At 43.5% G+C, this 14,543-nt stretch overlaps 1 long non-coding RNA gene across 1 annotated transcript in view; it reads right to left on the bottom strand.

The window, feature by feature from the left end:
• Positions 846-14,543, bottom strand: part of LINC02558 (long intergenic non-protein coding RNA 2558) — a 66,377-nt gene continuing 52,679 nt past the window's right edge. The window contains exon 5 of the long non-coding RNA NR_149128.1: positions 846-934. This is a non-coding gene — a long non-coding RNA (long intergenic non-protein coding RNA 2558). The remainder of the gene's footprint in view (positions 935-14,543) is intronic.

Genomic DNA, 14,543 nt, shown 5'->3' with positions numbered 1-14,543 from the left:
ATACTATAGATAATTGTATATGTTATACTTTTTTAAAGTGCAAATGCACTTTTTTATTTTTTATTTCCATGGTTTTTTGAAGAATAGGTGGTATTTGGTTACACGAGTATGTTTTTTATTGGTGATTTGTGAGATTTTGGTACACCCATCACCCGAGCTGTATACACTGAACCCAATTTGTAGTATTTTATTGCTCACCCCTCTCCCCGTCTTTCCCCTGTGTCCCCAAAGTCCATTGTATCTTTCTTATGCCTTTGCATTCTCATAGCTTAGCTCCCACTTATGAGTGAGAACATACAATGTTTGGTTTTCCATTCCTGAGTTACTTCACTTAGAATAATAGTCTCCAATTCCATCCAGGTTGCTGTGAATGCCATTAATTTCTTCCTTTTTATGGCTGAGTAGTATTCCATCATATATATATATATATACCACAATTTCTTTATACACTCGTTGGTTGATGGGCATTTGGGCTGGTTCCACATTTTTCTAATACTTTTATACGTCTGGCAGTACAATAGGTTTGTTTACACCACCATCATCACTGCAAACATGTGAGAAATGTGTCGTGCTGCCATACTACAACAGCTACAATGTCAGGAATTTTTCAGCTCCATTATAATCTTATGAGATCACTGTTGCATGTATGGTCCATCATTGACAGAAACGTTGTTAGGTAGTACACAGCTATATTTGTTTCGTGTGGCTGCTGTAACATATTACCATCAACTTAGCGGCATAAGACAATAGAAATTTATTCTCTTATAGTTCTGGAAGGCAAAAGTATGAAATCAGTTTCACTGGGCTGAAAGCAAGGTGTTAGCAGAACCACACTACTGAGGTTCTGGGGGACAATCCTTCCTTGCCAGCTTCTAGTGGCTGCCAGCATGCCTTGGCTTGTACCATATCACTCCGATCTTTGCCTCTGTGGGGGCTGGTGGGTAAACATAACATAAAGGTTACCATAATAACCATTTTTAAGTGTACTGTTCAGTAGCATTAAGTACACTCACAATGTTGAGCAACCACCACCATCATCCATCTCCAAAACTTCCCCAACTGAAACTCTGTACTGTTAAACGCTTACTTCCCATTCCCCCTCCTCCCAGCCCCTGGAAACCACTGTTCTACTTTCTGCCTCTCTGAATTTGACCATTCCTGGTACCTCATATGAGTGGAGTCACAATTTGCCTCTTATCTTCACATCACCATCTTCTCTGTGTCTGTCTCCCTCCCTCTGCCTCTCCTTTATAAAGCCAGTTTTGATGGCATTTAGGGCCCATCTAGATAATCCAGGATGATCTCTCCTCATCTCAAGATTCTTAGTTTAGGCCGGGCATGGTGGCTTACACCTGTAATCCCAGCATTTTGGGAGGCCAAGGTGGGCGGATCACCTGAGGTCGGGAGTTTGAGACTAGCCTGGCCAGCATGGCGAAACCCCATCTCTACTAAAAATACAAAAGTTAGCCGGGCATGGTGGCAGGTGCCTGGAATCCAGGTACTCTGGAAGCTGAGGCAGGAGAATCACTTGAACCCGGGAGGTGGAGGTTGCAGTCAGCCGAGATCGTGCCATTGCACTCCAGCCTGGGCAACAGAATGAGACTCCATGTGACAAAAAAAAAAGAAAAAAAAGATTCTCAGTTTAACCATATTTGCAAAGATTCTTTTTCAAAATACAGTAGCATTTACAGGTACCAGGGATTAGGACTTGATATCCTTGAGTGGCCATTATTCAGGCTATTACAATCAGACATCTGAATGGGGAAGGATTTGCTGGAGAAAGCAGAATTGGAGATGCTTTGAAGTGGGGGAAGGAGCTGCTGGAGGGGGTGAATCCAGGCCCAGGGGTAACAGCTGAAAAGTTACCAGGTAAAGAGAGGGGCCAGAAAATGAAACTATTGAGCTGGCCTCAGGCTACCCTGGGGAACTGATGTCTAGGCATGGGGGCAGTGAAGAGGGAAGATGGAAAGCTGAAAGAGACAAAGCGCTCCTGACCCTTCCTCTAAAGCTGAAGTCAATAAGAGGTTGACCTCTGGTGGATCTGAGCCCCAGCTCAACCCCTGACATGCTGAGTGACCTTAGGCAAATCCTTTATGTCCTCTGAGTATCACCTCTACAGTGGAGATCAAATTTGATATAATAGAGGCTGGCTTAGTGCCTGCCATGCATGTCAGCTTTGGATTGGAACCAGAGCCCAGGTTACTGGAACTGCCTCATCCTCTAGACCTCAAATCCCAGACTGGCTTCAGAGAGGAGCCATGGGGTAAGAAGCTGCAAGACACCCACCCAGCCTACCTTCCCCAGAGCCCTTCACAGGGAACTGCCTCAACACTGTCCTCAATCTGGGGCAACAGGAAGAATGTGTTGGGTGGAAGTCGGAGGCCTGTGTTCAAGAGCCGGTTCCTCTGGCCTTAGGCAAGTCATTTCCCTCTCTGAAACTGTCTCCGCACCTGTCAAATTTGGCAGAATTTGACCAGCAGGTCTCTTAAGAAGGATCCTGGTGCCAATTCTGACTCTAACCAGGCTCCTGAAGCTCTCTGGGCCTCCATCTATTGTCTGTTTCACTGGGGACAATAAGCCCTGGATAGTTGCATGTCAACCTTACTTCATCCTAAGTTTCATCCCCTGCTATATCTGCCAGGCCCAGGGATGACATTTTCTATTACTCACCACCATTTCTAAAAGCACAAAGTGGGAACACAACCATTGCTGGTAGAGCAGCAAGCTTCTTCCTGGACACTTATCACCCAGTAGACTCAGCAGGGGCCTCACAGTTGGGCACACTTGGCTGCAATTCTGGCTCACCCTCTCATTATCTAGGTAACCTCACAATACATTGTCTAACTTCTGAGGACCTCATTTGCAAAATGGAGATGATAACATCTAAGATAAATGAGAGAGCATATGGAAAATGTTTCAGCACACTGACAAGCACATATTTAATGCTCAATAAAATGATTCACTTTTATCTTTCTTATTATTGACACCTTATCTAGACTCAAAGATGGAGTCTTGAGGTGGGGCCCTGACCTCACAGAGCAGGAGACAGACACAAAGAAGAATATATGAACTATGTCTTGTGACAAGGGGTACAGCTTCAATCTTCACAATGACCCTATTGCTATCCCCATTTTACCGACAAAAGCACTGAGACTCAAAAGGGTTAAGTTACTTGACCGAAATCCCTCGGCTGGTAAAAGGCCAAGCTGGCGCTCAACTCCCTGTACCAAAGCCTGTACCACTAGTGCAGAGAGGAGGAAGAGGAGGGAATACAGCAAGGAGAAGTGAAGCCTTAGTCCCAATTCTGAGGCTACTCCAAAGCCAGCATCCCTCTAGTCCTTCTCCCACTTCACCTCCAGTTTGACACTTGGACCCAGCTGTACGAAAGTGAGAGGCATTTCAATGAGTCATTAATTATAACAAATGCAGGCAAAAGTCAGCAGTGTAATGTAGGCATCATCGTCTGCCAAACACCTTGGTTTTCTGAAAACTCAGAGCCCAGGATGAGAGCAGGTGGAGTGGGAAGGTTAGATGTCACTCAGCACCTGCAGAAGTCGTCTCTCTGTGAGCCATGTCTCAGTGTGACTGTTACCCCACAGACCTCAGCTCCCTCTGCAATGTAAGATGAGGCAGAGAAGCAGCTCCCGAGAGGAGGTGGCCCACAGGCCTGCAGGCACTGCTGAGGACCTCACCACGGCACTCACCTGTGAGCCTCATCCCCCACACTGCCAGCTGACCACCCTTCAGTCAACCTGCCAGTGAGGCTGGGATTCCAGGAACACAAAAACCAGGCCAGGCACAGTGGCTCACACTTGTAATCCCAGCACTCAGGGGGCTGAGACAGAAGGATCACTTGAGCCCAGGAGTTAGAAACTGCAGTGAGTTATGATGGCATCACTGTACTCCAGCCTGGATGAAAGGGCAAGACCTTGTACAGTGATTAGTGTTTCTTGCTTCAGAGACAGGTGTGACCTCTTCAGAGGGTGGTACCAGCCTCTGTAGGCCAAACTCCTGAATTGAGCAGGTAAAAACATGCTCCTGCCTGAGTTGGAGGAATGAAGGAACATCATCCAAAGGCCCAGTGTTACTTCCCATATCTTGGAATTATGGAACTGGGGCAGATGAGTGGATCATCTGAGGACACTGAGCCCAGGAAAGAGGTGAGGCTTACTCAAGGTCACAGGTCATGACAGTGGCAGAGAATCCCGGGGCTCTGCTTCCCACCACAGGTTCCCTCTCATTTGGCAAATAACTTATCAAGCACCAGCTGTTTTCAGGGTACAATGGTGCTGCAACTTGCCTCTGTGCTCCTTATGTTGTGCCTTCTGTTTGGCTCTTCCAGTTTGCCCCTTCAAAATTCCAGGCACATAGTAGGAGCATGATTATTTATTAGTAATATTGGCTTATTAATTGGATTGTTATGTTATCCAGTTAATAAGCCCACATGTAATAGTTAATACTATTAATACTATTACATGCTAATGAGATAATTATATTATCCAATTAATAAGCCAATATTAGTAGTTAATACTATTCATACTATTACATACTAATGAGATAACATGGTATATGCTTAGCACAATGCATATGTTATATCATTAGTCATTACAATAAATTTGTGAAATAGATATTGTGACCCCTGTTTTACAGAGGAGAAAACTAAGTCTTAGAATGGTTAATTTGTTCAAAGTTACACTACTAACAAGTGATAGAGCTTAGACTCATACTTAGGTCTATCAGACTCCAAAACTTTCTTCAATAATTATTATTTTTATTTTTTAGAGACAGGGTCTTGTTCTGTTGCCCAGGCCAAAGTGCAGCGGCATGAGCATAGCTCACTGTAGTCTTGAATTACTGGGCTCAAGTGATCCTCCTGCCTCAGCCTCCCAAGTAGCTGAGACTGCAAGTGTGCACCACCATGTCTGGCTAATTTTTAAAAGTTTTTGGAGAGATGGGGTCTTGCTATCTTGCTCAGACTGGTCTTAAACTCCTGTCCTCAGGCAATTCTGCTGCCGTGGCCTCCCAAAACTCTGAGATTACAGGTGTGAGGCAACACATCCAGCCTCTGTTCAAGAAATTGTTGCTGAAAGAAAGAATGAATCAGTGAGCAAAAGGCACCATACTGGGCTTATGGGAAGCATTTGGACCAGTTGTTTATGTATTTTGCTAATGCATCCTGCTAGGTGAGGAAACAGGTACATAAATACTAAGGCCTAATATAGATCCACCCATAATAGGTTCAGAATAGTGCTTTGAGGTTCCAGAGAAGGGAGCAATTTCTTCCATTGGGAGTGGAGTGTGAGGAAGTTTAACGGGTGAGAGGGCATTTGAACCAAGCCAAGTAGGATTCGGACAGGAAAAGGTGGCAGATGGGGCAGTGGGCAAGGTAGTCCCGCAAACTCATTGGAAGAAACAGCACTGATGAAATTCAGGAGAAGGGAGATCCTGGGGCAACCAGTCCAGCTGAGCTGGACTAAGGATGTGTGAGGAGAGGAGGTGGGGGGATGGGAAGCCAGAAACAGGTTGGCACCAGGTAGTGGAGGACCTTGAATATCAGGCTGGGGCCTTTGGGTTTTCTTCAGTAGATGTGGGGAGCCCCTGACAATTTTGGGTCAGAGAGTGACATGGCTCATTATGCCGGATGGAGTGAAGGAAGGAGAGACTTGGAGGAGGGAGACCAGAAGAGACTGTTGCAGTAATCCAGGGAGGGATGATGTGGCCTGGCCTAGAAGAAGCATTCTAAAGGAATACTCCATGGGGTCCAGAAACTGGCTAAGGGATGAAATGCGTGCAAGAGTCAAAGAAACAGCATGGGGTCAGAAGGCCTGAGTTCTGATTCCAGCTGAGTCACATGGCCTCCCTGGGCCTCCCTGTCCCACTTGTGAAAGGTAGGGGATGAGTTATGCCATGTTTAGCGGCTTTTCCAGGGATTATGTTCAAAGTACTCTCTAATTTCCTGGTCTTCAAAAGATGCTGAGCGAGTTGTGACTGAGGCAAGCAGATTTTGGAGGTGCAGACCAGCTGGCTTCCTTGGGGTGGTGAGCTGATTCTGAGCTCCTCTGTGAGGTAGCTGAGTATCCGTGTATAGTGTTACACATGGATAGTCAGGAAACTGCAATAACCGTGTTAGCTACTCTGCTCCCTTAAGCGTTTTTTGCAGCAGAGGTGTGTTGGCATGACTTAGGTTATTGCCTAAATTGTGTATCTCCAGAGAGGGGAGTGTGCGGCTTCTCGACTTCTCAAAGTACCAACTCACTAGTCGATAAGGCTCAAGTTATGGGACTTGCAAAGGATCACAGAGAAAGATCTAAAGTGTCAGAAATCTAGAGAACTCCCCGGAGTCTCCTCTCAGTTCCTCCACCCACAGGCTGTCAACGCTTCAGGTTCCATCCAGAACCTGAGTCTGACACAGCTGGAGATGTGGTGAGAGGCCCCAGTAGCATGATGCAGGAACCCCAGAAGCTTAAAGGCCAATGGGCTGAGGAATTAGGAAGATGGTGGAGGCAGGTTGCTGAGAAGCAGAGAGGGGAGGGGACTTGTTAGGGTGACACAGTGAGTCAGGTGAAACAAGGACTGGAAGCCAGAGTTTTGAGTTCTTTCTCAGATGTTTCTTTATTCTTTCTTTCCCCAAGGACACCCTCTCTGGGCATATATATACACATATGTGTGTATATGTATGTGTATATGTATATGTACAGAGTGACACCCTGTCTCAAAAAATATATGTAAATATATACACATATGTAAATATATATGTATATATGTAAAAAATATACACATATACATACACACACACACACACACACACATGTCTCACTTTGTAGCCCAGGCTAGAGTGTGAACACCACTCACTGCTGCCTCAACCTCCTAACCTCAAGTGATCCACCCACCTCAGCCTCCCAAAGTGCTGGGATTATAGGCATGAGCCACCACACCTGGCCAACACATATTTTTAATGTGCATTTATGAGCAATGGGTTCAAAATCTAGTTATGTCCTTCATTAGCTGTGCGATATTGGGCGAGTTACTTAATCTCTCTAAATCTCAGTTTCCTTATCAACAAACTGAGGATGACAGCACCTATGTCATAGGGGTATTGTGAGGATTAAAGGAGATAATGTGTGCAAAGCACTTCCTGCAATGCTGTATAAATGCTAGCAAGGAATTGATTAATGATAGCTCTTTTATTCTTCTTCTAACAATGGTCTCTCAGAGAACCACTGCTTTGGTCTAAAGGAGAGAAGGTTTGGTGCAAAGTCCGGAACTTCACCCTCTTACCTGGACCTGCTCCACTGTCCTGTATACTTTGTTTCCTTCCCTCACAACTTTGGACTTGTCCTGGCTCTGACTGTCCCTTAACACCCACACACCCACCCACACACACACACACACACACACACACACACAAAGTGGCAAATTGAGAGCGCTTCAAGCCACCTTCAGGTCATGTAGGCATTTTTTTGGAAGGAGGTTTCTAAAGACAGTCCCTCTCATACTGCCTGTCCTTGGGAGGGGGCTCCAAAGTGATTTTCAGGGTACCCAAGATACCTCTTTTTTTCCCAGTTTTAGGATAGCCAACTCCCTTGTTTAATACCTTCGTTTTAGAGTGCTTCCTTCCACACGGTGAGGGCCCCTTGTTCTCCCAGCCCTTCTATGGGCATAACAGTCATACTCCTTCCCCCTTGAAGAGAACGGCACACATTCTAAACTCTTCCACATCTTCCACCTTCCTTTGAGCCTCACCTGAAGATAGATAAGTAAAGATGATTGCTGGCACTTGATGCATGGGGAAACTGAGTCCCAGAGACTTGAAGTGACTCATCCAAGGACACAAAGCAAGTTACTAGCAGACTCAGGACTTAATTCCAGAAATCTTGATTCCTAGTCCAGTGTTCTGGCCTTTATATTCCTGGAAGAATTGCTATGGCTAGATTAATTGGCATCCACGGACTTTAATCACACAGTCCTAGGTCTGTCTCTCCAACCTTCATTCTCATTCCCTTCATGCTTCCCCCTCAGGGGCCTTTGTACTTGCCCTTTTATCAAGGAAGCCTTTCTGCCAGAAATCCATGTGGCTCAATTAATTCTTCTTTCCTTTGACACCATCAGGAAAGACCCTCCTTGGTCACCTTTCTTCTTCCTGGCCCTCTTTATCTCCTTATTCTGCTTTATTTTCCTTCCTAACACTTAGTATTGCTGGACATATCATGTTCTTATTTGCTTGCTTTTTAAAACCTATCTTTCACAATTAGAATCAGAATAGGGACTGTTTTCTTCACTGCTGTACCTATAGTGCCTAGAGGAGCATGTGTGGCACTTAGATGTCCAATAACTGTTTATTGAGTTGTATGAATATATAGTAAATATCCATCCAAACTGGACCATTCAGGTTCCCCTGCCTTTGCCCATGCATTCTTTCTGTCATGTCAGAAAGTCTTTATATATTAAATGGGCATTTTACTGTTGCTTCCTCTGTAAAGCCTTTCTTGGTTCTTCAAAGATAATGCTGGAAGCGGTGTACACACCTGTAATCCCAGCTACTCAGGAGGCTGAGATGGGAGGATTACTTGAGCAACCCTCAAGTAGCTGGGATTACAGGTGAGCTCGAGGCTGCAGTGAGCTACTATCCTGCCACTGCACTCCAACCTGGGTGTGACAGAGTGAGACCCCATCTCTCTCTCTAAAAAAAAGAAGATGATACTGCTAAACGCGTTAAACTCAGAATACAAAATCACCTGCTACTGTCATCTCCCATCTACACCTGTACTATGGAGGTGCACATCTCTGTATAATGCATTATAAAAATCGCAGCCTTGAACTGGTAAGCCAAATGTCAAGTTACCCTCTTGTTGAATGAAAAAAAAAGAAAGAAAAAAAAGAAAAAAACAAACCAAAGCAAAACTTGCCAGTAGAGTCACCTCTTGTTTCACAGATAGCCTCTTTGACATCCAGCATTATAAAGAATGGTTAGATATGAGTTCTGCCCAAATTCACTTGTTTTTTTCTAATTATGCCTGAAATATATTATTTTATTTGGGAAAAAACCCGAGGAGGCAATATAGATAAGCCAAAAATAAAAAAGTTTTATTATTTTAAAAAATTTTATGGGGTCTTGCTATGTTCCAGGCTGGTCTTGAACAACTGGCCTCAAACAATTCTCCTGCCTTGGGCCTCCCAAAGTGCTAGGATTACAGGTGTGAGCCACCATGCCTGGCTGAAAGTCTTATTCTTAAAACCATATTTTAGAAATTGTCACTGTTAACATTTGGAATATATGTTCTTTCAGACTTTAAAATATATAAAATAAAAGGCCGGGCACAGTGGCTCATGCCTGTAATCCCAGCACTTTGGGAGGCCGAGGCAAGTGGATCACCTGAGATCAGGAGTTCGAGACCAACCTGACCAACATGGCGAAACCCCATCTCTCTATTAAAAATACAAAAATTAGCCAGGCACGGTGGTGGGTGCCTGTAATCCCACCTACTCGGGGGCTGAGACATGAGAATAGCTTGAACCCGGAAGGCAGAGGTTGCTGTGAGCCGAGATTGCGCTATTGCACTCCAGCCTGGGAAACAGAGCAAGACTCTGTCTCAAAAAACAAAGAAACAAATATATAAAATATAATATAGCTATATATTACATACATTAATAATAAGTATCACATATTTGCAAAATTGGATTGCACTGTGCATTGAATTTTGTAGATCTACAACATATTTTTAAATGACCACAAATTATTCTAGCATATTGATATATTTATATTTACTTAATAAATTCTGTATTTTGGGACGTTTAGGGCAGCTAGAGGTATTATTGTAGATATTGCTGAGATGAATGTCCCTCTAACACTCATCTATTTTCTTATGAGAAATTCCTAATACAGAATGTTAATCAAAGGGCTTGATTATTTTTAAGACTGATATATGTCATCAAACTGCCCTGTGGGGTGACTGTCCCAGATGACACTCATTTTGATGGAATTTTTTTATTGTGGTAGAATATATATAAGATAAAATTTACTATTCTAACCATTTTAAAATTCAGTGGTATTAAGTACATTCACATTGTTGTGCAATCATCATCAGTATCTATCTACAGAACTTTTCCATCATTCTAAATTGAGACTCTGTACCCATTAAGCAATAACTCTCTGTTCTCCCCTCCCTTCAGTCCCTGGTAACCACTATTTGACTTTCTGTCTCTATGAATTTGCCTGTTCTAGGTATCTTATATAAGTGGAATCATACCAATTTGTCTTTTTTTTTTTTAGGCTGGGTGCAGTGGCTCATGCCTGTAATCCCAGCGCTTTGGGAGGCTGAGGTAGGCAGATCACGAGGTCAGGAGTTTGAGACCAGCCTGGCCAACATGTTGAAACCCCATCTCCACTAAAAATACAAAAAATTAGCTGGGTGTGGTGGTGGGTGCCTGTAATCCCAGCTACTCGGGAGGCTGAGGCAGGAGAATCACTTGAACCCGGGAAGTGGAGGTTGCAGTGAGCCAAGACCTTGCCACTGCACTCCAGCCTGGCAACAGAGTGAGATTCCATCTCAAAAAAAAAAAAAAAATTGTCTTTTTGTGTCTGGCTTATTTCACTGGGCCTAATATCCTTAAGGTTCATCCATGTTGTAGTATCTGAATTTCCTTCCTTTTTAAGGCTAATATTCTATTGTATGTATATACCACATTTGTTTAGCCGTTCACCTGTCAATGGACATTTGGATTATTTCCACCTCTTGGCTATTGTGAATAATGCTATCTTGAACATGGGTATACAAACATCTGCTTGAGTTCCTGCTTTCAATTCTTTTGAGTATATATACCCAGAAGTAGAATTGCTGGATACTATAGTAGTTCTATTTTTAATTTTTCAAGGAACTGCCATACTGTTTTCCAGAGTGGTTGCACCATTTTACAATCTCACCAGCAGCATACAAGAGTTCTAACTTTTCCACATGCTCACTAACACTTGTTGTTTTCTGTGGGTTTTTTTTTTAAATAGCCATCCTAGTGGGTGTAAAAAGGTATCTAATTGTGGTTATGATTCACATTTCCCTAATGATTAGTGATGCTAGCATCTTTTTGTGTGATTTTTAAAGAATTATTTTAAATATTTGCCAACCTGATACTGTCCACGTTTCAGTTTGGTTCAGTTCAGTTCACTGCAATTTAGTTCACATGTATTTTCACCAACAGAGTTGTCATTCTTCTCAAAGAACACCTGGGGAGGCCAAGTTAGAGGATTGCTTGAGCCGAGGAGTTTGAGACCAGCCTGGGCAACATAGACGTGGGCAACATAGACTCATCTCTACCAAAAATTTAAAAATTAGCTGGGCCTGGTGGCATGTGCCTGTAGTCTCAGCTACTGGGGAGGCAGAGGTGGGAAGATCATTTGAGCCCAGGAGGTCCAGGCTGCAGTGAGCCTTACTCATGCCACTGCACTCCAGCCTGGGCAACAGAGGGAGACTCTGTCTCAAAACAAAACAAAACAAAACAAAATACCTGGAGACAACCTGAATGCCCATATGTAGGTAAATGTCACAATCAACTATTGCACATATATACCATGGAATACTAGTGGCCACTGGAAAAAAAAATGAGGCAGTTATCAATATACAGGAATGTTTTCCTCAATATATAGTTTTGTGGGTTTTGTTGTTGTTGTTTGAGACAGGGTCTCCCTCTGTCACCCAGGTTGGAGTGCAGTGGTGTGATCTTGGCTCACTGCAGCCTTGGTCTCCCGGGCTCAATCGATTCTCCCACCTCGGCTTCCCAAATAGCTGGGACCAAAGGCACACACCACCATGCCTGGCTACTTTTTTTTATTTTTTTGTAGAGCTGGGGTTTCTCCGTGTTGCCCAGGCTGGTCTTGAACTCCTGAGGTCAGGTGATCCACCTGCCTCAACGTCCCACAGTACTGGGATTACAGGCATGAACCACCACACCCAGTCTGGTGAGTTTTGACAAATATACCCACATAACCACCATCTCAATCAAGATGTAGAACATTGACAGAACACTAGAAAGTTCTCTCATACCCCTTTGCAGCCAATCATCCCTCTCCTGCCTCCCACAACTACTCTGTTTTCTATCACCATAGACTAAGTTGTTTTGCCTGTTATAGAGCTGCATATAAATGGAATAATACAGTGTGTACTCTTTTATGTTTGACTTATTTTCTCAATTCAGTATCTACGAGATTCATCCACATTGTATGCATCAGTAGCTTGTTCTGTTTTTTAATTGATGAGTAGTATTCCATTGAGTTGATACACTACATTTTGTTTGTCCACTTACCTGCTAATGAACATTTGGGTTGTATCTAGTTTCTGGCTACTTGAAATAAAACTGCTATGAACATTGGTGTACAAGTCTTTTGTGGATATATGTTTTCATTTTTCCTGAGTAAATACTTAGGAGTGGAAAGGCTGAGTCACAGGGTAGATGTAGGTTAAGATTTAGAAGAAATTGTAGGAGTTTTTTTTTTTAAACAATGTTTTGTTTTATTTTTGATAAAATAGAGATGAGGTCTCACTATGTTGCCCAGGCTGGTCTCGAACTCCTGGGCTCAAGTGATCTGCCCAGCTCGGCCTCCCAAAGTGCTAGGATTACAGGCGTGATGAACAATGTTTTTAGAGATGGCAGAGCATTGGATTAGGAACTCAGAGACCAGGGCATAAATGTGGACAAGTCACTCTTACTCCTTGGGTCTCAGTTTCCTCACTGCAGAATGAGGGGATTGGTTGAATGCTCTTAACCCTTTTCAGTGTGAAGAGTCTGTTATTCTTGGAGGTTGTAGAAATCCAAAACCTGATGTATGCCTGACTCAGGTATTAAAGGAACTGGCCCTCAAGGACCCTCACCAGCAGCTACCTGTGCTCAAGAAGTACAAGCAGTTCTCCCATATCAGGCATGTATGAGGGTAATCACAATGTTAATAACAGTTGCAGTATAAAGAGGCCTTTGCCCCATAGAACCCATACTCTTTCCACATGGCACAATGACTTTGGAGTATACTTTGCACTGAAGGAAGCCATTGCAGACCAGGTGCTTTCTCAAGGACTAGGAGTGGGAAGCAAGCAGTGAGTGACTCAGGATGAGTCAAAACAAGAGATTAAATTGAGACCCAGGATGACTTCTGTTTGGAAAGCACAGAAAATGGGCCTTGCAAGTGGTCTTCCATTAAAAATGAGGCCTGGCTGAGCGCAGTGGCTCATGCCTGTATTCCAGCACTTTGGGAGGCCAAGGCAGGAGGATTGCTTGAGGCCATGAGTTCAAAACCAGACTGGGCAACATAGCAAGACTGTCTCTACAAAAAGTAAAACATAAAAAAATTAGGTGGGCATGGTGGCACACACCTGCAGTCCCAGCTACTTGGGGGGCTGAGGTGGGAGGATCACTTGAACCTGGGAGTTTGAGCCTGCAGTGAGCTATGATTCTGCCACTGCACTCCAGCCTGGGTGACAGAGCCATACCCTATCTCTAAGAAAAAAGGGGGAAAAAAAGGCCCTGTGCTGGGACTCACAGCCTAAGCCCATATAAAAAAATCTCAATTTGACTTCTTGGCTCTTTTCAAGCACAACCCTGAATCATCTTCTCTCTCCCATCAGCAATTGATATCTCAGTAAGGATCTATTCCTCTTTACCCCTACCCATCAGAGCCAAACTGAAGCTGGAGTTCAATCGGCAGCCCCTTTTCCAATATAGAATCACTCCAAAGACAGAGATTTTATGATTTCATATTTGGATAATCATGGCTTTAGAACTGATGGCTTTTCATCTCAGACTTTTATTCTGTGTTTTGGAGTTGATAATTGTGTACATGTCTAAGTGGGCATATATTTATAGGAGTGTTTATATATGTGTTTGTGTGTATATGGTTCCATTTTCATGTGTGTTATATAATACTGAAATCAAAGTTAATTGGATACATTAGGCTACACCCCAGGCGGTTAATTGTTGCTCTTTGTCATTCAAGGTAATGAGAATGACACTCCTCTTTTCTTACTTCCTGGTAAGATTTCCCAAACTTGGAAAAACCCTGTTGAGGAGTTTGACTGAGACCCTTAGAAAATCCCAGGGATCAGGGACAGTTGACAGTGGATTCGGTTCTTTTCCCTATTCCCAAACAGAAGATCATTCTCTGAGTATCTGCCTTAATGCTTTGTCTTACCATTTTTCGTGTCTCAGCAGGGACAGATGAACCATCATTCAGAAAGATGTGTGTGCATGCGTATTTATTTATAATGACTCCTACATAATAGTTTCTGTAGGTAGAGGATGAAATAGTGTTAATTAGTACTGAAAGGTCTTTCCATTGGCTGTGACTATGATGATTAGAAAGTAGATGTAGGAGAGGAAAGCCAGTTTTGTGGTTCAGTTATCATTATGCTCATAAACATTGACTGCATTATGAAGTCCATTTCCTTTGCTGTACTTTAAGCCCAGAATAGGTAATAAAACCAAACAGACTGCAGACCTGGGTTTCAGCCCTAGCTCTCCCACCAAGTCTCTGGTTATCTTGGCCAAGGCCTGTTCTTTCTCTG

This window comes from Homo sapiens, chromosome 22, assembly GCF_000001405.40.
Source record: "Homo sapiens chromosome 22, GRCh38.p14 Primary Assembly".
NCBI lineage: Eukaryota > Metazoa > Chordata > Mammalia > Primates > Hominidae > Homo > Homo sapiens.
This window is presented reverse-complemented; position numbering and strand designations above follow the sequence as displayed.